This window comes from Homo sapiens, chromosome 14 (genome assembly GCF_000001405.40).
Source record: "Homo sapiens chromosome 14, GRCh38.p14 Primary Assembly".
Classification (NCBI taxonomy): domain Eukaryota; kingdom Metazoa; phylum Chordata; class Mammalia; order Primates; family Hominidae; genus Homo; species Homo sapiens.
In genome coordinates, this window is record NC_000014.9 from 54,564,615 (window position 1) to 54,586,873 (window position 22,259).

Below are 22,259 nucleotides of genomic sequence, written 5' to 3' on the forward strand. Positions count from 1 at the left end.
GTCTGGTTAATAATTAACTTTTAAAAAATCCACATTTTTGCAGCTCGACCTCGACAAGACCTTTCAAAAACCCTAACAGATGGTTAGGTGCTATCACGTGTCTGAAACGAACTATACGCTGCAGAAACTAAATTTGAGGAGGAAGGGAAGAAAGCATTTAAATTCCAGGGACATATGCCGGAGTTGGAAAACAAAAGTGTTAATTAGTGGAATAATATCTCAGATACTTTCTCTTCAAAACAGTGGATTAGCAGGAGTAGGAAAGGCTGGGTCTGAAACACGCGTTTCACTGCCTTCTCAGAATTACTCCCGTATAAACAAAGCCTCAAGTTGCTGGAGGGAGCAGTGTTTCCTCTGAAATCACGGAGATAGCCCAGATTTAGTCATCCAGTCCTTCTTGCGAATATTCAACCCATATCAGGAGGTACAGAGGTTTTTAGGGTTTAGGGTATTTTTAACCAAACCTTTACTTTCAAGACTAGCAGAGGCACTTTCGCAGCCCACCCTGCGCCACTCAGCCTCTGCGCTGCGCCCTCCTCGCCTCTCGCGCGGCAAGGACCTGAAGCCCCGGTGTGGCCGCGGCCCTGCGCACTCTCCAGATCCAGGTGAAGGTTGCGAGGCCTGGCGACGCCTAAGCGCTGACAGGTGGCCTCGCCCCGCCTCTTTGTCGCCCAGGGCGGCGCTCGCCTCCGCTCCAGGCCAGAAGCCGCAGCCCGCGCGCCAGGCACAGCTCCCCCGACCGGTCTCAGGAGTTCGGCCACCTCCCCGGGGAAGAGTGGGACTCAGCCAGGCGCCGGGCCGGCCTCTAGGAGCCTGCGCCAGAGCAAAGGGCATCCGGCACCCGACCCGGGCCAGGCCCTTGGACTAGGGCGGCACGGAACCTAGCGCCTGGGCAGGTCCAACCCTGCGCACTGCCCCTCAGCCTCGTGAACCCTTCGCCTCCACGACCCCCGGAACCCATCCCAGCAAGTGCGGCAGTGACCTCGGGTCTCACCGCCCGGGGGCCAAACACCTCGGCCACCCCGGGGCCCCAGAAGGGCCGAGGGTCAGCCGAGCGGACGAACCACATTCCCAAGGACAAGCAGCGGGTGGCAGCACCGCCCCCGCCCGAGCGCCCTCGGGTCCCTTTCTGCCGGGGCTCCAGTGGCTTGAGTGTCCCGACCCCTCCAGAACACGCAGGCGGCCGCAGGAAGAAATTCACCCGGACCCGTCCTCTTCCCCGAACTTCTTCGTTCCTCTCGGAGGTTCCTTCTACCCGACCCCTCTGCGCCACCAGCTCCTCCCACTCCGCTCCCCTCCCCTTTTTCTGGTCCCCACTTAGGAATCCGTCCCCCCGCCCTGCGCCGGGTCCGGGGTTCCTCCCCCCGGCTCCCCCCGCGTGCCGTCGCCGCCGCCCGGGTTCCTCTCCCCCCGCTCGGGCGCTCCCTGCCAAGCCCATGATGTAATGGTGTATGTTAATCAGTAGCATGTGGGGAGCTCCGGCTCGGGCGGCTCAGTCCTCCGCGAGCCGACACTGGAGGCAGCAGCAGCGGCGGCTGCAGCGGCCCCGACTCGAAGCACCGCACTCTCCCCGCGCCGCCCGCCCCGACGGCATGGCCCGCGGCCGGCGCTCCGGGCGCCCCCAACCCCGCTGAGAGCCGCCGCGGCCCCGGACCCGCGCAAGGGCCCCCGAGCCGCCGGGATGAGCCGCGCCGAGGTGAGCGCTCCCTCCCTACGGCCCTCGGCGGGGGACCCGCGGGTCACTGGGGGTCCCCTCCCCGGGGGCTTCCCCCTCCGCCCGAGAAGTTCTGGGAGCCGGAAGCAGCGTGTTGTTGGAAGCTAGCGGCTCCTTGAAGGCTGAGTCGCTGGGTTCTCCTCCCCGCCGGCGGCGGCCACGAGAACCGGGATGGGACTGGGGGAACCCCCGCAGCCGAACTTTCTTTGCTGTCGTTGGGGGGCGTGTGCCTGCGGCGCCGATCCGCATTCCCCGCGGGGCCGCCCCGCTGGCCGAAGGGAGCAGCGCTGCGGACCCCGGCCGTCCCCTCGCGGGGCGTGTGCCCAGCGCTGTGCCGCCCTCGGCCTGCGACGCGCGGGCGAGGCTCCGGGCCGGACAGACCAGCCCGTAGGCGGCGGCGGCAGGATGCCTGCCACACACGCGCGCACACACACACGCACACGCGCGCGCACAGTGACCGCTCCGGCCGGAGCAGGCCCAGGGAGACCTCCCGGGTGGGCTGGTGCGGCGCGGCGCGGGGGAGCCGGGGCTCTGGGTTGCGCCGCCGCCCGCTGGGCGCGGAGCTTTGGGTGGAGAGAGTTTATTTTTGTCTCGAGCTGCTGCCGCGGCTGCTCACGGCCTAAATCCAGAGGGGCGCCTGGCGGTGGAGATGCTGGCTGTTGCTGTAGATGGAGCTGCAGCCGCTCGGCTGCTTCTCTGGGAGGAGGAGGAGGAGTAAGAGGAGGAGGAAGGAACTCGGGCTGCCGCTGCCTCCGCCTCTGCTTTGCATTAGCTCCCACCCCCACCCCCGCGCCCCTTCGCAGCCGCATTGCAAGTTTTCTGCGCGGGGAAGATCTGTTGCTGGTGCTGGCGTTCTTAAGCACGGCGCCCGAGGCCACCCCAGGCGGGCCGTGAGGGGAGCACCAGCCGTTGGCAGCGGCAGCAACAGGAAGCCGCGGGGTCTCCTCCCGCACCTGGGAAGCAGGCTTCTCGCTGTTACCCGGTGGGGAATAGCCCATCTCCCACATCGGGTGCGGAGGGGGCGGAGGGGGCGGCTGGATTTCGGCGAACCCAACCTTCCGCGGGACGCCCCCTCCCCTGGCCCCAGCACCCTCTGATGCCCTCGTCCCCCCAGGGCGCGCTCCTCCGCTAGCCGAGGTCTCACTGCAGCTCTTTCTCTCCTTCCAGTGGTGATCGCCGCTCGGGAATGCGGGCGTGAAGGGTCCGAGTTGCCGCCCAGCGGGGAGGAGACCCCAGGACGCCGGAAATCACCATCCCAAAGCTGCAAGAAGGGGGGAGAAAGCATTCTTCATTCAGTTGTGTGCCTTGTGGGGGATTTTTAAAAAGTCGTTTTTTTTTTTAAAGAAACATTTCCGTGCTACTGTCTGTCATCGTCTCTGGGGAAATCAGCCAGAACCACCGGAACGTAACTGAAACCAGACAAGAGAGGCAGGAGCCCAGGCAGTACCTGCAGCGTCCGGGCACCAGAGCCACCTTGGAACAGGAACGCGTCTCCGGCCGCGGGGCTGCGGCTCCGCCAAACTTTGGGGCGGGCGGGGCGGGCTGGGGCGCCCAGGGGGCTCTGTAGACCGAGGGCGGCCCCCTAACCATGATGTTTCGCGACCAGGTCGGGGTGCTGGCGGGCTGGTTTAAGGGCTGGAACGAGTGCGAGCAGACTGTTGCGCTGCTGTCGCTGCTCAAGCGCGTGAGCCAGACCCAGGCCCGCTTCCTCCAGCTCTGCCTGGAGCACTCGCTGGCCGACTGCGCCGAGCTGCACGTCCTCGAACGCGAGGCCAACAGCCCCGGTAAGTGTGCGGCGGCCGCCGCCGCCGTCCCGCCTGCCCAACCCCCGCTCCTCCCTCCGCTTCTCTGCCTCGGGCCAGGCCGAGGCCAGTCCCTGCCAGCCGCGCCGGGACCTGGACGGCGTGGCCCCGAGGCCCTCGGAATCCACCCCCTCCGGGTGTCCCCCCACTACCGCCCCCCACCTACTTACCTCCGCCGGCCGCTTTGGGATTTTGCCCACTGTGAACTCCGTCAGCCCTTTCCGTGTGGTAGCTACGGTAGCATGAATGATTGATTTTTCTCTCATGCAGTTTCCTGGGAAATAAGTAAGTCAGGTCACGTAGAGTCTGGATTTTCTGGGTGTGTGTGTTTTTTCCTTCCTCCTCCTTCTTTTGGGCAACGTGGCTCGCTGGATTTCAGCAACACATGATAGATGCCCGGGACTGCCCTTCAGAAGCCAAGCTTGGATAAGGCTGTGTGAGGAGTACATGAAAATCCAATTTTATTATTCATTTTTCCCCACAGATATTCTGGTTTTAGAGCTTCGTCTTCAGAATAATATGCAGGTGACGCTAGAGACTAGTAAAATGACATTTGCAGCATATATATATATATATATATATATATATATATATATATATATATATATATAATGCGGTTAAGCTTACTGCTCGTGACATTATCCATATTGATACGGATCTTGTAGAAAAAAAGGGTCTTGGAGAAAGGACAGGCATGAAGTGGGTTACTTAATGCTTTTCGTTAGGAAACTTTACTGAATAGAACAGAATCGTTTCATATTACCCTGCTAGTATTTACAGACACCTCAACTAGTATGGAAAGTGAATATAGTCGAAAGGTCCAGCAGTTTCCTATTTGCTAGCGTGGGTGGTGACAGACTGAAATTATATCCTGGAGGGTAGGAGGAGGCTGGGGGATGGGGGGAAAGTCTGATGGTTGTGATTTTGGATAGGGGGAAATTCTTTAGTTCATGCTGCTGCAGGAGGGTGAACAGAGTCCCCAGTGTTTATGCAGAGAAAAGAATGCAGGGTCCTCTTCCAGCTGTTCCATGTTGGAGCTGCGAGCCTGCAAAGCTCAGCAGAGGTCTGGGCTGCCATTTGATGACAAGGTCCAGTCCAGGGCAGTGGGGCCTGGGAGACACTAAAGTGAGTGTGCCTTCAGAGCAGCAAGAAGCGAGCCGGCCTACTCATTCCTCCTCCCTAGTATGGTGTGCACGATGGTGAAAACACTAGAATGGGATGCTTCCATATATAGAATCATAGGGTGGAAGTGACCGCTGGAAATCTTCACAGTTCTTTTCCTGACCAGACAGGACTGCACCCGAAAGATCCTGCATGGCCAAGTATGGAGGGCCACATTGAGGGAGATTCCATTGAGCCCGAGCCTCCCAGCTCACACCAGGACTCACTGGGGTGGCGATGACAGGGCCCCCTTTGGTTGAGCTCCACGTTTATAAATAGCTGGAGGGCCAGCCTCCTTCACTGGGGTGTGGAAGCATAATTGGGTAACTGATGATCCACCCTCTTTGCTTCCTTCCTTAATTTCAGCGGGAAGCCTGGTTTACCTGCTCGGTTTTACTTTCTCAGGTTTGACAAACAAGGTTATATAAACTTTTGCATTTTATAGATTGCAGAGGATTTACGCAGAGTCATTTAGGTTGAATGCTTGATTTCAGTGCTGGTAGGGACTGTTCAAACTCATCTTTAGGTTATTCAAATGTTGGAGCAGCACTTTTTCCCTTTGAGTAATGGAGATGACTTTTCCCAATAGAGCAGCCACCAGGTTAGTAAGTAAAACAGTTAAATGTTAAAATAAGGTGGCCTAATTTTAAAAATCTCATAATTTAAAAAATTGAACTGTGAATTTTTTGAAGTCACTTGGCATTTTTTTTCCCTTAAGACATGTTTGGCCATACTTATTTGTATAAGATACCCACCTGTTCATGCTGCTAAATGATGTAGATATACAAAATATAGAACCATTGTGTAAGATAGGAACTGGTCTCCAGTTTCTGGATTAATCCTTCGCCTAGACGTTTTGCCTGCATGGAAATCTTTGCAGTTGTTTTGTTGTGTGGCCAGGACAGAAATTTCTTAGGAGGTCATGTGATGATTTGGTTTACTTTCGGAGTGTGGGGATCATAAAGAGCATCAGGAGTTGTCATAGCATACCTGAGTCTGTAGTGTGGCTCTCTGCATATCCGGAAACTAGCCAAGAACCAGGAAGGGGGCAAAAAGTCCACTTCGCAACCAGAGTAGATAGCATGAAAGTCCAAGAGAATATTTCAGGCCCTCTCTCAGAATGTACTTGCTCTTATTCTAGACACAATCCTAACATTTAAAAAATTTGACAAATAATCCGTAGTGTATTGGGGGTAACACATTTAGAATGGGGTGAGGGACTGCTGTAATCAGTAGTAAAAAGTGACCCCTGACAGCCTGACAACTTGGAAAGAGACAGAAAAACTGTAACTTTAGACAAGAATTGGGGCAGAAACTTTGAAGGCTTGGGAATATTAGGGTGGGAACCCTCAATTGACCTTGTAGGCACCACTCTATAATAACATAAACAAATAATTGCTATTTACTGTTGTTAACGGTGAACTATGGAAATAATACATTTTTAGATACACTCTTTAAGAAGAGAAGGAAATGTTCAATATACTTTGGAAATGTTTACACCCAGAATAATTAACCTCTGAGCTGTTTTGATGTGTAAGGCTCTTACCAATTCAGAAAACTAGGCTGTGCAGAATGACTCATTCATTGGATTGCTGAGATTTCCTGTACCGAAGTCATCTTGTATCACTTTATTTTGTAATCATCAATTTAAAAAACCCTCACATTTTGTCTAGTGTTTAGAGATTTTAAAACTTGGTAAATGGGAACCAAATTCATATATGGGACTCGATCTCAGTATAATAAAAAAAAATTACTAGTAATAGTATGAATATATCTCTCGTTTTATGCAGGACTGATTTTAAATAGTGAGATATCCTGCGCATTAAACATGATTTATTTGAGATTTGTGGGATGTAATTTGGTGCTTTCATTCTCTTAAATTTATTGAGAATCTAGTGATTCACTGGTTCATCCTTTGCCTCAGGCTCATGGTCATTGGAGATTCCAAGAAATGATTGAATCAGTCCCTATGGATTTATTTGTATGTGTTTTTCTTTTAACAGATATGGTCATGATCAGTTCTCTAGTACAGTCTTGTTCCCAGGATCCTTATAACCTTAGATAAGTCTCTTCAGCTACTGCTCCAGTTGAACATTGAGACTTCTGGCCAGTCTCAGTTCCAGGACTAGCAGGTCATTTGATACCTACAAGTAGCAAAAATGCAACCCACTGACTTTACCTGAAGTTTCCAAAAGAAAAATAGACTTTGTGGCATTGTTTATTTATGGCTTTTGTCACTTGGACTTGAAATATATTTTTCATAGAGATTTATAAGTTAATCCACAAAAACGTAACCCACAAAATATACACTATTTGTGTATGTTTGTGGTAAGTAAATGACAATAAATTCCTATACTTATAGTTAAATACAAGAGAAAAGGGTATCCAAAATGGTGATGTTTGAGACAAAAAAATAATTGTGGAGCTTGAAGACTCTCTCTCAGAATGTAATTACTCTTATTCTAGACACAATTCTAACTTTTTTAAAAAAATTGATAATCCATAGTGTATTGGAGGTAACATATTTAGAATGGGATGAGGGGCTGTCACCCTCACCCCATATTTGTGTAAACTTGCTGTCATTAGAGGGTGGGTATGTTGGTTCCATGATTTTTATGGTTTTGGTTTCTGTAGTACAAGTATGCCATCCTCCACCCTGCGTTACTTTTTAAGGTTACAAATGGCATAAAAAGAAAGCAGCAGAAGAGGTTTTCCTGATGATATGGATAAGATCTTGTTTGTAGTTTTTTCATTCATTTATTCATTCCACAAACATTTTCTGACTGCCTGCTATTTTCCTGACCCAGTGTTATGCAATGGAAATGTAAAGGTAACTTAACTCTAGTCCAGTGCCTAGTACAGATAGATACTCTTAGTGTGGGGTAAATGACTAATATAATATCATAGGTGTTGAAGCATAGATATGGGGATAAAAAGTATGAGGAGAGGCCTACTGGGAGCATTGTGAACCTAGCCACTTATTGCCTGGGGAATCAGGGAAGACTTCCCTGAGGAGGAGATACATTTGAGCTGAGTCCTGAGGGGCGAATAGGAGTTGGTTCAATATTTTAATATAAAAAGATTGTAAAGAGGGGTCAAGAAGGTATCTCCCATGCAGAAGATAGTGTTATCCCCTTTAATGTATGGGCCTACATGCATGATCCTCTGAGAGGCATGAGTGGAAGAGCCAGTTTAGTTCAGACAGTTTCCATTTTGGCCACATGGTGGCATTATCTTCTAAGGGCAGCTTGGTTGCTGTCCGCATTGGCATATGCAGGAGAAGGAAGGATGGAAATAGAGAAAAAAGTATTCTCCAGGTGCCCATCTATTTATAGTCATAGGAGGGCATAAGTTGTAGAAGATTTTTAGAGTACAGATTTTTAAATCAGCCTGGGCTAGTTAAATAATTTCTAAGCCTCAGTTTTCTTATCTGAGAAATGATGATTATAAAACCTTGTTATTGTCCGGAAGTTACTTGTTAATGATCCAGCAAGGATCTATTCTATCCCTCAGGTTTAAATTTGCCTTTAATTAATATAGAATTGATATGAATAATATTTTTCTAAATGATCAGAAATCTTTTCATTTAAAGGATTATGAAGAAGAGATTGAGGATGACTTGGAACCCTAAAAAGATATAAGTCTACTGGGACCCACCTTCTATGTTTTAGCTTTGTTTTTTCACTCTGTCTCCTAAAAATATGCAGCCCTGACCCAGTTTTCCCAAATAACTTATCAACACTTTTTCCTTCAGTTGGTGAATGTGAAAAGAAGAAATCATTTTGCTGAATGAAATATTTAGGGGCTTTATATATGAAGCACTTTTCACTTAGGGTTTTGTAATTTTCTTTGGGTCAGTCTGGGATGACCCTGCAGTTTACTGCTGCTTGTAAGTTGTAGCAGGTCACATATATTTGTACTCTTTGTTGTGAATAATTTGGGTTTGGTTGTATCGCCTGGGCACTCACGGCCTTCAACAATTGAGTATATGCTATAAACAGGCCCCATCAAAGCAAGTAAAAGGCAGAGAAACTTCACAACAGTCAAATTGACTTGTTTTTGTTTAAATAAACAAACGAGGACACAAGATGAGGGTTGAAGGGCTGAAAGTAACTGAAAACTTCCCAGACAGTCCTACAGAAGTCTAATTCTAGAGAGAATTGACAACACCAGAGAAGAGGGAAAATATTGCTTCTCCTTGACCCAAGGAGAAATTTGGAGGTTTTCATCTGTGGGTGAAGTGCTTTGTGTAACTCATTTGCTAGGAAAGGTATGGTGCTCGTAGAAATCTTTTCTTTTCCTTTTTAAAATATACAATCACTACTTTGAGATTTTAGTATGTTCCTTCCTTTTCATCTCTCCTGATCATTCCTTCCAAGGCCTCACTGAGCTCATCCAATTCACATAGATTAAGATGCAGAAGCAGACATCTCTTCTGAGCTATTTTTGCTTCCATTGAAGCTGCCTGAGGCAGGATTTTCCCAAAGAAAGCAGAACTTTTAGAACAGGGGCCTAGAGTCGAGGCTTGGGCCTTGCTCTGCTGCCTACATCCCAAGAGCCAGCTTGGAATTCAGAGTACCTGCCTGCTTTTATGTAGGAACATGGGATTCCCTGGAACCCGGAAGCTCATTCTATTGTTTTGTTCCCATTCCACATATCAACATTTTAAAACAGCTTTCTTGTCTTAGTTTACTAGGAAAAAGCAATCAAATGATTCAGTGGTTTCTTTTACACAGTAGATAATACAGTGCCATTGTAATGGTACCTGACAAAGTGTATTTGGTAAGAAAGTGGGACTGAGTTCCTTGGCACATATAAATTTACCAAATACCCCAGCAGAGAGCCCAGGGCCCTGTCAAAAGCTGAAATACACATTACTCCTCTCAAGTAGCTTACACTCGAGTTGCAGAGCTGAAACAAACATAAGAAAATATGTCATAATTCGATCATACACAGTTGCTAAGTGCTGTGGTTCTGATTAGAGAACAAAACTGAAATTGAGTGAAAGGAGAGAACAGCGTGGATTGGGCAGTCTGAGAAGCTGAATGGAAGAAGTAAACTTGACTGTGTCACATGAAATAAGTGCTTTTAGGGCTTATGAGATTCTTGCTGTTGTAGTACCTCAAATGCCAGTTTCATCAAGAAAACCACACATGCAGGGAACTCTGTGCATGTGCCATGGAAGGGGCAGGCTTCCTGGGCCTTTGAAGGATGAATGTGAATAGGGTAGAGAGAGGAGAGCATGAGGGATATTCACCGTCATAAGTGATTGCTTGGTGAGTGGAGAATCAATCCCAACACTCTATGATTTCCAGTATATTTAAAGATACGAAAATGGAACATCTGGTCACCTAGTATTTTCATCCCGCTTAAGTATGCATAACATTGTAAGACTTAGTAATAGTTCTCTTGGCTCCTCCTAGTAGGATATTTTTGTAGGATGCTTTGACTCTAACTAGCGTTGAGCAATAACATCTGAAACAGTTAGAGGAAAAGATAAAGTGTCGTAGACCAGTTCTCAAAATTTAGTTGCACGCAGATCACTTTGGAATCTTGTACTGAAAACCTGAAAACTCTGATTGAAGAGGCCTGGGGAGGTGGAGCTGAACTCCTGGGATTGTAGTAGGCTCCCAGGTGATGTTGATGCTGCGTATCTGCGGACCATACTTTGAGGGTAGACTGTTAGAAATGAAAGGTGCAGAAATGAAAGAGACTGTTAGAAAGGAAAGAGGCAATTTGGTGCAGTAGCTTTCAAGTTTTACGGCTATGTGTCAGAAGATTTTTGTTTGCAAGTGAGAACTTAGATGAAGGTTTATGGGAAGTGAATGTCCCCCCAACCCCCTACTCCCCAAACCTAAGTGTCCTAGGAGAGCAGTTTGGAAATCTGTGACCAAGGGCAGTGGTCTTTCTCAGGCTCTGAGAAAAGACATTGGTCGACAAAGCTATGGCCAGCAGATCTGGGATCAGAATCTGACTCTCCTCAGTCCGATGCTCTTTCTCCTGTCTCAACCCCTATCAAATGGCAGTAACCTGTTAGAGCCCTTGCTTAGGGCTGGGTTTTAAACTGGCCCAGGTGGTTTCCTATAATAAGATGGGGACCACTTATCTTTTGCCCACTGAACTTGCTGATATGAGGAAGGTCATTTTCTGAGTCTCTCTACAGTTTTCTGTTGGCTTCACATGCAGAGCAAAGCAAATCTTTCTTAGCTCTGGCGGTGGGACCTCTTTGGAAGGCAGGGGGAGGAGACAGACAGGACAAGGTGGACACTGTAGTCAGTCTTAAGTAGTAATGTACAAAAGTGCATGCTAAGTGTCTACAGGCACTTTGAGGTCACTTTGCCCTGGAAAATCCCCATGGATTGCTTTAGTCAGAGAGTATGCTAGTAGTGCAGGTGTGTTTCATATGATGGAATTATTGACTTAAAAATCTTTTCAAGTTTTACTTACGCATGTAAGCACTGAAATACTGACGCTTTTTAGTTTGGTAGTGTGGTCACTCATTAAATTATTTGAGCATTTTATATACTGCTCTCAGCAATAATTCTCTCACCGGCTCTTTGAACTACCTCTCACAGCCTGCACTGAGTTTGGGTTTGAAGAAGGCCGGAGAATTTCCCCGAGCTTTTTGAATATGCTGAAATTTCCAGGCACTCTAGCGATCAGTGTCTTATGGAAAATGAGGCTCCAGGAAAGATTTCTTTCTTTCTTTCTTTTTTTTTTTTTTTTTTTTTTTTTTTTTTTTTTTTTGCTGATGCTATGGGCTGTAAAGTTGAGCTGGAAAGAGCAGGAATGTTCATTCCAGAGACTGGATGGGAGAGTTCTCTTCCCCCTACTTCCCCAGAGCACTCCCATAAAGTGCAGTCACTGGAATTTCTGAAGCAGTTTATCCTGATCTGTCATAGAATCCAAGCGTCTGTGTGTGCAGCATAAATACATACACAACATTGACTTTCATTGTATACATTTCTATCTGTGTATGTGCACCAAACATGTGATTTAAACACAGTTAAAATGCATGAGTAAAATGTCAATGCTGAACCAGTTTTGAAATTTTGAAGAGTGGTAAATGAATGGGAGAAACAAACTGTCTGACTTCAGAACCACTCCATGTGCCTCAAGATAAATAAACTTGTCTCCGTTTGAAAAAGGAAAAAGGAGGGAGAAACCAGGTTTTGCACATTGTAGGCATCTGAGAGGTTAATATTGGGCCTGTGCAAGATACCAGAAGAATATTTAAAACATGATCTATGAGCGTATGGATGAAGAAATAGGAACCAGCATGGTTTTGCTGTGAGTGGGAGGATGGACCGTGGAGAACTAATGCCATTTCCTATCTGATGGGGCAGTGGGAAAGGGGGGAGATAGCATTTGCTGAGAGACTTCTGTGTTCCAGGCAGATCACAGGGAATCCCATATCTAAGTTTCAGCATAGCCTTTGACAAAACCTCTTATTTCCTGATGAATTAATGGAGAAATAGCAGCAGGTGAGAATCTAGTTGTGTGGCTTTAGCGTGGTTTCAGTGACTGTTACAGGCCTGTCTCCAGCCACTGTCTGCCTAAAGGGAGATCTCTGGTGCTGTACATTGAAGCTCACATGTTGGACATTATCACTAGTGTCGATGGAATGTGACTTAGCCTGGGGTCCCCAAGAAGGCAGAGCCTGAGGCAAGGGCTGGTGTGCGGGTGGCTTATTTTGGGCACTGATCCCAGGCAACAGGAGAAGGGGCTACAAAGAGAGAAACAAGGAAGGAGGAAGAGCCAACACAAGCCTGCATTATCAAGCTGGTCACTGCTGTGGGCAGTGGGGGCTTAATCCCACAGGGATCCTCTGAGGAGCCACATAGAATGTGCTTGGGAAGTGGCTGAAGGACAGATGAGGTAGGCATGTATCCATTATTCCCCTCTCCCTTGGCCAAGTGTTGCCCCAGGGTACTGAGTCCCTGTACTTTCAGGTTTGTACGTGTTTCTGCAGGTGTCTCAAAGACGCCCCAAGGCAGAATGCTAGAAAGACATGGTACAGCCAAGGCAGGGTGCTGTCAGGTTATACCTGTGTGAAGCTGGGGGCCACAGCAAGGGCTGCAGTGTTATCCAAGCTAAGAAGGTGTTTGTAAAGTCTATGGATGAACCTAGAAGGATAGCTCATGGCTTGATGACAGAATCATGATCAAAATATTTGAATGTAACCAGATGACATATAAAGCATTAAAGTGTAGCCCCTACATTGGCATCCCCTAAACCTAAGCTAGAGAAGGCATAGTGCTTCAATAGCATGCATAAAAAGGGACTCTGGCTTTTAGCACACTTACAACTTCATATGAATAATGTCACAATGTGGTTGCGCCCAAAGCCACTAAACTCTGTAATACAGTCATTGTACTCAGAACAAGTCTGTGCTACCAGTCGCACTCTCCCTGGAGTCCAGGAGGCAGTTCTGGGTACACACTCGGAGGGAGATGGACAAATCAGGATGTGGCCAGAGAAGACAGAATGGCGGGGGGGCACTCGAAAGCCAGGGTGAACTGAGAAGAAGATGAGCAGAGAGCTGTCACTGCTTACTCAGAAAGCTGGCTTGGAGTTGAAGGGTTAAATTCTCCGTCCATGTAGAGGGCAGTGAGTGGAAGCTGCTGTTCATTTAGCTCAGAGTAGAGAAAAACTTTATGATGATTAGGGCTGCCCAAACAATGCAGTGGCCTGGGCTTCATCAGATTTGGACGAGCCTTTAGCATCAAGCAGAATAATCCTTTCGAGTAAGACTGGCTCCTGTTTATTGAGCACCTGCTCTGTGCCAGTTGTTTGCATAACATGACCTCATTTATTCTTCTCAATAACCCTATGAGATGAGGTAGGAACTGCCATTATTCCATTTGTCAGGGAGGAAACAAGCACTCTGGCTTCGGAACCACCCCACATGCCTCTCCACTGTAGGAATTTAGTGTCTATTTGCTTAGGAAAGAAGCTCTGATTTCTTGGATGACTTCCAAAGTCCCTTCTGACCTTAAGATTCTATGATTTCTATGAATCAGGAATGAAGATAGGAACACAAAACTATTGAGAGCAGAGGAGAAAGAGAGAGAGAGAGACAAGATGAGTAAATGAATGAATGAGTGAATAAATAAGGGTGGTTTTAAAAGTTTTCTTGGTGGGCGCACTGGCTCATGCCTGTAATCCCAGCACTTTGGTAGGCTGAAGCGGGCGGATCACTTGAGGTCAGGAGTTCAAGACCAGCTTGGCCAACGTGGCGAAACCCCATCTCTAACAAAAATACAAAAAATTAGCTGGGCGTGGTTGTGTGTGCCTGTAGTCCCAACTACTCGGGAGGCTGAGGCAGGAGAATTGCTTGAACCGAGGAGGCGGAGGTTGCAGTAAGCCGAGATCGCACCACTGCACTCCAGCCTGGGTGACAGAGCGAGACTCCATCTTAAAAAAATAAAAAATAAAAATAAAAGTCTTCTTGATTTCCAGTGTATTCCTCCTGCACTTTTTGGCCTGTTTGGACCACAGATTTGTGGCTTTTTATGAAATACACCTGTAGATTAATTTTCAGTTTTTTTATGGTAGTAGACAGTCAAAGGCTAGATCACTGTGATGAGTAGGGCTTCCACATTTAAGAAAAAGCTGTAATGAAGTGAATTGAATCTTGCTTCTTTTGGGTCACCCAAAAGCAGTGATAAGTGCTGAGTGTGTTAGGCACTTATTAACAAAAGTAACTCAGAATTGCTGTCTAAACCTCCATATCTTTTTTCTTCTCTCCGTGTAGTTCTAAAAATGACCATATGATATTCCTTGAATGGTAAGAGCGTCTATTCTTCTTAGCATGTTCTGTGTGTCACACACTGTGCAGACAGCAACATACACACACAAACACTATCTCCTGTTATTGAATGGATGAATGATACAAAGAAGCAGAACGAGTGGTTGTGAAAATTAAATGCCGTATATTTCAATAATTAGATAATGGGCTGACCTCTCAGAGTCAAGCACACTGTAAGTGCTTAATCCCTGGTTTCTAAGTTATATGAATCCCACAAAGTAGATACTATCTCCATTTTCCAGATGAGGAAACTTAGGTTTAGAGTGGTTGGAAATGTGCCTAAGGTCACCAGCATCTTTCTGATCCCAAAACCTATGTTGAATCCTTGCTATTGCATGAATGCTGAAGATAGATTCCAGTTCTTAGGTAAATGAAAATGTTGGCAATTGAACAAAAAACATGTATTTTTAATGGTAGTTTTAATAATTCACAGTAACATTGTATATGTTTCATCTTGGAAAAATTCTTTTCAGCTTGTCCATTTAAATATTCCTCTTACTTATGACATTTTAACTCTCCATAGCTTGGTATGGCTTAGCTTTGTTTTTCCACTGGCTTTAAAAAAATGAAGTGAAAGGCATTGATTTAAACATCTCTCTTCCTTTAAGGAAGACTCATGGAATGGATGCTTCTGTGGCCTCTGCATGAATGGGCTGGGCTTGAGGAGGGAAACAGGCCCTGCACACTGCAGAAAGGAAAGCCTAAGGAATGTGTTACATAATTGCTCATGACGTCCTTGACTTTGACAAACTAGGAAGTGATGTGCTGGGTCAGGATCTCCATAGGATCTGCAGTTGGTCAAAGTACCAGTCTGAGGGCTGTAAATTAAAATGAGCTCTCCTGTTGTTTGTAAGTGGTGGAAATTTTCAGAACATTAGTTTAGGAAAATATGTTACAGTTGGTATAAGAGTGAGTTGTATTTATTTCATTTACTAGCAACATGCAATTAAGGAAGTAGAAGAGACCTTACATACTGCAGCCCCTTTGTTGAAGACCTGAGAAGACTGAGGTGTACTGGGGTCCACTAAGGGCACCTGTTAGTAGGGGAAGAGCTGGTGTTAGATCCAGTCGCTTCCCGACTTTGACCTAGACTTTGGTATCACAACTTTCTCATGGCCGACTTGGCTGCCACAGTGAATGACTTCTTGTGCTGGAAATGAGAGAGGCTCTATTTACCTGAATTTCAAAGACTACATTCATTAAAATGGTCCCCTCAAAGTCATTTCCAGACTCCCCCACCCCTTTCTGTTTCTTTACTCACAATAAAGCACAGTTTGTTTGGATTGGAAAGTGATTAGCCCTCGTATTTTGAAATTGCAGAGTGTTATAGTGTAGGAAGCATGTTATAATCACTGTTCCAGCAATGTCTTCTTGGTTTATGCAGAATCTGACTTGGCTACTCTGGAGTTGCCCTAAACCCTAGTGGAGCACTGGGTGTCCTTCATGACTGCCCACTACCTGTGGGGAGAAATTTCATTCATTCGTTGGTTAAACAGTTCCTTACTGGGTGTTAATGTGTATGGTGGTGTGGACCAACCAGGAGTCTCCTTGTCTACGACAGCTCTTCCTGAGGGTCTTCCCCAGTCTCTTAGGGCTTGCTGGTGCCCTGCTGATACCTTTGTATAGCACTAGTCTCAAGGTACTGGTGTTGTTCACTATCTGATTACCCTGTGCCTTAGTCACTTTTATCCTCCAGTGCCTAATAGTGTGTCTAGCACATAGGTGATCTCAGAACGTTTTCGTTGAAAGAGCGGATGAATGAATTTAAAGAAATTTAACTGACATCCGTAATCCACAAGGGGTTTACCATCTAGGTTGTGAGATAAATCTAAGTGCATACAGATTGATTAACAAAACAGGTCAAGATGAGAATCCTCACGCTGTTACCAAGATACATGTGATAAAGGCCAGAGGAAATAGATGCTGGTTTCCCCTCAGACCCTTACAGAAGACCTGGGTTAGGGTCTTGGTGTCATCACATAAAGTATGTTACCTTGTAAAAATTATTTAAGCTCTCTGAGCCTCAGTTTCCTCATCTGTGAAATGGAGTTACCACTACAGAAATCACAAGGCTATTACCAGGATTGTGGATGTGTAAAAGTACTTTGTAAACTGTATCGTATTATACAAAAGCAGAGCGACATTATTCTCAAAGTACCAGTTGAAACAATGGGATACAAATTCAGGAATGTGGGTTTTAAAAGGTTCAGGAAAAGATGACCATGGTTTCTTTTTCAGAGCTTTTGCACTGTTAGCAAGAGCTGAAATAAACACATGGTTCTCTTGGTGAACACCAGGCCCCTCTGGGCCTGAACTAAGGCTTGGATCCGATGATCCAATTCAATTGGGACTTTAAGCCTTGTGGCCCTGATTTCCACAGGCTGGACTGTCTATAACGTCAAAGTTAAGTTTGTATTCACTTTCATCCTTTTCATTGATTAGATCATTAAATGTACTCTCTTCAAGTATGAAGGACTCAGGTGTCCATGCTAAAGAATTTCTTTTGGAGAAAGCCACATAAAGTGTTGTATTGTGACCTCTGTATCCCTGCCTGTAAAGATTCCAGTATGAGTGGTCATGCAGCCATTCAAAGCATGCCACAGGGATTCTATACCTATTTTGATAGTATGGATTATTTAAAAATTTCTGATAATTTTTTAAAATTCTGTTTTTAAAGAGGTAAACCTAGATAAAAATTACTAAACTTAAACCCATTCAGTGCAAAACCTTTGAGTATTTTTGGTATACCTCAGCTAAACAAGAAAATAATTATGCTTTGCTTTTTGTTCTATAATATTATTTCCACTTTTACCTTTCACTGAACAAGCGTTCGTTGGAAAAAGAGAAGGCTTTCTTGTCATTGTTCTTTGTTGTTATTATTTTAACAAAGCCTCCCTATTTTCACATTTTCTTTTTGTGGCAGAATGAGCTGTGTTAGCACATTTTGCAGATTATTGTGGTATTTGCAGATGATCTGAGCACAGTTAAAATATTGAAATTCTGAGCTATAATGTCAAACTTGAGCCTCATGTGTGATTCTGATATTAAGCTGCTGGTGGGTTATATGGGAATAATTGTGGCATATGTATGTTTAGTTCACAACATTTTAGATAGGAATAATTTGGACAAGAATTGCTGCTGCTGTTTTTTTTTTAATTTTATTTTTTATTTTTAAAGACTTTCCTACCTTCTCATTGAGAGAGAGAAAGATGCCCAGAGTTAAAATAGGAGGTGCTTGGGTATTTTGTTGAACTTCACAAGTTAAACTGGCGAATGGCGTCCATCAGCTGTTATTCAGTCCTTGAACAGAGCAGATATGTTTGTGCGAGGACAAAGAAGATGCCTCAAAGACAAAGAAGAAGATGCCTCGTCGTCCCCTGAGCTCCCACACGGCATCTGCACATCACCAGCTCAGCATTTAGCACACTGGATTGACACTGCCATGTTAGGTGAGGTGACGGCATGCCCTAGAGTGAAGGAATCTACAGCAATATGATAGCTAAATGCCACATGAAGTTCTGGATTGGATCCTGGATTGGGAAAAAACATGGCTCTAAAGGGCAGTATTGGGACAATTGGTGAAATTTAAATGTAGTCTATGTATTAGGGGATAATGCTGTTATCAATTATACATTTCCTTCTGTTATAATTGTACCTTGGTCACACCAGGAAATGTCCTTATTAGGAGACGCATGCAGAAGTCTTTTAGGGATGAGGACTTACTGCAGCTTATTCTCAAATGTTTATATATAAGGTGACAAAAATTAAGAATTGGTCAATCTTGGTGAAAAGTTTATGAGAGTAAAGTGTGCTGCTAATTTAACTTTTGTATAGCTTAAAAGATGTTTTTTTTCTTTTTTGAGACAGAGTCTCTCTTTGTCACCAGGCTGGAGTGCAGTGGCGCAATCTCGGCCCACTGCAACCTCCGCCTCCTGGGTTCAAGTGATTCCCCTGCCTCAGCCTCCCGAGTAGCTGGGGCTACAGGCGTGTGCTACCATGCCTGGCTAATTTTTTGTATTTTAGTAGAGACGGGATAAAAAGATAAATTTTTTACCTTTTAAGAAATCCTGCACTGGAACATTGGCTCCAGGAGGAAGGGGCTGTGCTTTATCTCCCTCACGTAGGGTTGCCAAAGAAATTACAGGAACCCCAGCTAAATTTGAACTGCGAATGGGGCATACTTATACCACATATACTAGAAAGTTATTCATGGTGTATTTGCAATTCAAATGTAACTAGGGGTCCTATAGTTGTATTTGCTGAGTCTGGCAACCTTGTCCTGAATTAGCAGTGCCCCGAGAAGCAGCAGGGTGGCCTGTAGGAGGTGTTCATCTGTTATGTGGAATGAATGGTGCCTCTTCAGAATTCTGTTGTGCAGTCTTCTATTAGAGAAAACCCTTTTTATCTGAGCATGGAGTTGGGACATTACCTGTAGTTGGATATGATCTCCTTATCCTTCTCCCTTTGATTGATCTTTTTCTTTGAGCTGATTTGAGCTTTCTTCTTTTCTCTGTAGTTGGCGGAATCAGCTCAGTTACATTTTTTACTAAGTTACCCACATTCTGACACTCCTTGACAGTTTTAAGATCTTCTTCTAACACACTTGAATAGAATGGATACTGGAATCTATTTTGACAGCTGTTGAAAATCTATTCTGTTGTTACAGGAGGTTAAGGAGGTTATTTGTAACACTGGGATTATTTAATGAACCTTTTGAAAAGGTGTGCAGACTGTTCAGGCAAATAGTATTTTTTAGAATTTAAATGATTTTGGTTTTCACAGTTAAATTATCAAATGTAATGCTTTTAAGAATTATACACCTAGTAATATTTTTCATTAATTTTCTCCACCAGTGTAGTAATAGTACATTACAATGTTCTCAATTACCGGTGCCTTCTAAAATGCAGGTGTAGAGTCTTTAAATACAGCTAGTCTATTGCCAGCTGTCCCATAGATAACCTTCTCTTTAAAAGTGACCTTTGAGCAATTTCATAAAGAATAAATATTTCTAGTTTTTTGTTGCTGAACTGCTAAAAGATGGTTCTATACATGTAACAGGTGGCTTTAGTTGGGTTGCTTTCACTGAAATTTGATTCAAATAAAGCATTGCATTATTTTACCTTTGGAATTATAATTATGTGCCAGACTGACTTCATTTTTGGCACACTGCATTTCAGTGTTGAGGTTTGGGTTGAGGATGGAGTGTCTTGCATGTGCAGGAGTAGGAGAGCTTTGCAGATAAGACATAGCAGCTGAGGCATAAAACATCAGCGTCTTTTTTATGCATCAGAGGAATTTCTATCAGAGGAGTTGCTGTTCTACTAGGCTTTAGATTTAGGGACAACTGTTCAGATTAACCCCTTAGACTTGAATTTTCTTTGATCTCAAATCCAAAGCATTAAAGAAGACTCTGTCAAGTTAACCATCAGTACAGTGCTTAACACACAGTAGGCACACAAAATAAAATTTGTTCAATGGAATAAACTAGACAATTATGTTTGGGTTATTATTTAATATTAAATGTGATTTAATTACTTGAAATAGACGATCTTTCAGTTCCTGCCCTTTACCGCATTGCTTGGCAACACAATTGTTAACATGTTTTCTGATTAAAATAAATGTTCTTACCTAAGTTTATGCTAGATTATAGCATAAAGATTTAGAAGCATTAAATGGATGAAATAGAATTTGACACGTAGGCTATTTCTGAGAAATCTATTTTATTAAGTATACTTTCTCTTGTGCCTGAAAAAATTTATCAAATTGTCCAAATCAGGTTCTAGCAAAGCAGGTAGAAGAGTTTTTAAAAAGACAATGTTCTTAGAAGAATTATATTTCTATTGTAGAAAGATTTAAAAAAGAAAAAGTTACATAAATAACACCTATAATCCTATTTTTCATTTTGTTGGCTATATTTAGTGTCTTCTACCATACACAAATTTTTCTTACACAAATATACAAAATTAGGTCCATTTGACATACTGTACAGTGGTATGTATCTCTACATATATGCCATTTGGTGAAAAAAATATCTAAACTGCCTTTTAAACTTAAACTGTCATTAATATTTTAATGCACCATCATAAACTCTTTTATGACAGTATTTTAAATGACCGTGTAGCATTCTATAGTATGGCTGTGCCATAATTTATTAAACCAAACCCTTACACTTGGACATTTAGGTTATTTCCAGTTTCTTACAATGCTGTGGTAAACATCCTTTAAAGCACAGATTTGACCTCAGGTTATATGCCTGTAAGTGTAGTTTCTGGATCACGCTTCTTTAAAAATTAGCATATGTAATATGTTAACCATGACATCATTCTTTTTAAAAATTTTTTAAATTTTTTTATTTCAGTAGGTTTTTGGGGAACAAATGGTATTTGGTCACATGAATAAGTTCTTTAGTGGTGATTTCTGAGATTTTGGTGTACCCATCACCTGAGCAGTGCACACTTCACCCAGTGAGTACTCTTTTATCCCTCACCATCCCCACTCCTTCCCCCGAGTCCCCAAAGTCCATTATATCATTCTTATGTCTTTGCATTCACATAGCGTAACTCCCACATATGAGTGAGAACATAGGATGTTTGGTTTTCCATTCCTGCATTACTTCACGTAGAATAATAGTCTCCAGTTCCATCCAGGTTGCTACAAATGCCATTATTTAGTTCATTTTCATGGCTGAGTAGTATTTCATGACGTATATATCACATTTTCTTTATTCACTCATTGATAGATGAGCATTTGGGCTCGTTCCATATTTTTGCCATTGCAAATTGTGCTGCTACAAACATGCGTGTGCAAGTATCTTTTTCCTATAATGACTTCTTTTTCTCTGGGTAGATACCTACCCAGAGATTGCCAGATCAAATGGTAGATCTACTTTTCGTTCTTTAAGGCACCTGAACACTGTTTTTCATAGTGATTGTACTAGTTTACATTCCCACCGACAGTGTAAAAGTGTTCCCTTTTCACCACATCCCCGCCAATATCTGTTTTTATTTTTTTATTATGGCCATTCTTGCAGGAGTGAGATGGTATCGCATTGTGGTTTTGCTTTGCACTTCCCTGGTAATTAGTGATGTTGAGCATTTTTCCATATGCTTGTTGGCCATTTGTATATCTTCTTTTGAGAATTCATGTCCTTAGCCCACTTTTTGATGGGATTGTTTGTTTTCTTCTTGCTGAGTTGTTTGAATTCTTTATAGATTCTGCAAATTAGTCCTTTGTTGGATGTATAGATTGTGAAAATTTTCTCCCACTCTGTGGGTTATCTGTTTACTCTGCTGATTATTTCTTTTGCTGTGCAGAAGCTTTTTAGTTTAATTAAGTCCCATCTATTTATCTTTGTTTTTGCTGCATTTGCTTTTGGGTTCTTGATCATGACGTCTTTACCTAAGCCAATATCTAGAAGGGTTTTTCCAATGTTATCTTCTAGAATTTTTATGGTTTCACGTCTTATATTTGTCTTTGATCCATCTTGAGTTGATTTTTGTATAAGGTGAGAGATGAGGATCCAGTTTCGTTTTTCTACATGTGGCTTGCCAATTATCCCAGCACCATTTGTTGAATAGGGTGTCCTTTTCCCACTTTTTGTTTTTGTTTGCTTTGTCGAAGATCAGTTGGCTGTAAGTATTTGGCTTTATTTCTGGGTTCTCTATTTTGTTCCATTGGTCTAGTGCCTATTTTTATACCAGTACCATGCTGTTTTTGTGACTATGGCCTTGTAGTATAGTTTGAAGTCAGGTAATGTGATTCCTCCAGATTT

General features: G+C 44.2%; 1 protein-coding gene across 16 annotated transcripts in view, besides 7 other annotated features; it reads left to right on the forward strand.

Annotated features, from left to right (window-relative positions):
• Positions 536-585: a silencer, noted in NCBI's record as "silent region_5766". NCBI's record gives its function as "represses an Ori minimal core promoter by ATAC-STARR-seq in GM12878 lymphoblastoid cells {active_cell/tissue: GM12878}" and the evidence as "EXISTENCE:reporter gene assay evidence [ECO:0000049][PMID:35858748]".
• Positions 596-665: a silencer, noted in NCBI's record as "silent region_5767". NCBI's record gives its function as "represses an Ori minimal core promoter by ATAC-STARR-seq in GM12878 lymphoblastoid cells {active_cell/tissue: GM12878}" and the evidence as "EXISTENCE:reporter gene assay evidence [ECO:0000049][PMID:35858748]".
• Positions 702-22,259, forward strand: part of SAMD4A (sterile alpha motif domain containing 4A) — a 228,000-nt gene continuing 206,442 nt past the window's right edge. For 6 of the 16 annotated variants that reach the window (XM_047431136.1, XM_024449516.2, XM_047431138.1 and 3 more), the window contains exons 1-2: positions 1,495-1,696; positions 2,882-3,498. In XM_047431136.1, the coding sequence (XP_047287092.1) occupies positions 3,303-3,498 (196 nt within the window). In that variant the 5' untranslated portion in view covers positions 1,495-1,696; positions 2,882-3,302. Of the gene's footprint in view, positions 1,245-1,494; positions 1,697-2,513; positions 2,725-2,881; positions 3,499-22,259 lie in introns of those variants that run through there. The other 10 variants (XM_024449514.2, XM_047431139.1, XM_047431141.1 and 7 more) reach the window with 4 other exon arrangements.
• Positions 1,296-1,425: a silencer, noted in NCBI's record as "silent region_5768". NCBI's record gives its function as "represses an Ori minimal core promoter by ATAC-STARR-seq in GM12878 lymphoblastoid cells {active_cell/tissue: GM12878}" and the evidence as "EXISTENCE:reporter gene assay evidence [ECO:0000049][PMID:35858748]".
• Positions 1,986-2,035: a silencer, noted in NCBI's record as "silent region_5769". NCBI's record gives its function as "represses an Ori minimal core promoter by ATAC-STARR-seq in GM12878 lymphoblastoid cells {active_cell/tissue: GM12878}" and the evidence as "EXISTENCE:reporter gene assay evidence [ECO:0000049][PMID:35858748]".
• Positions 2,156-2,345: a silencer, noted in NCBI's record as "silent region_5770". NCBI's record gives its function as "represses an Ori minimal core promoter by ATAC-STARR-seq in GM12878 lymphoblastoid cells {active_cell/tissue: GM12878}" and the evidence as "EXISTENCE:reporter gene assay evidence [ECO:0000049][PMID:35858748]".
• Positions 3,186-3,245: a silencer, noted in NCBI's record as "silent region_5771". NCBI's record gives its function as "represses an Ori minimal core promoter by ATAC-STARR-seq in GM12878 lymphoblastoid cells {active_cell/tissue: GM12878}" and the evidence as "EXISTENCE:reporter gene assay evidence [ECO:0000049][PMID:35858748]".
• Positions 3,486-3,545: a silencer, noted in NCBI's record as "silent region_5772". NCBI's record gives its function as "represses an Ori minimal core promoter by ATAC-STARR-seq in GM12878 lymphoblastoid cells {active_cell/tissue: GM12878}" and the evidence as "EXISTENCE:reporter gene assay evidence [ECO:0000049][PMID:35858748]".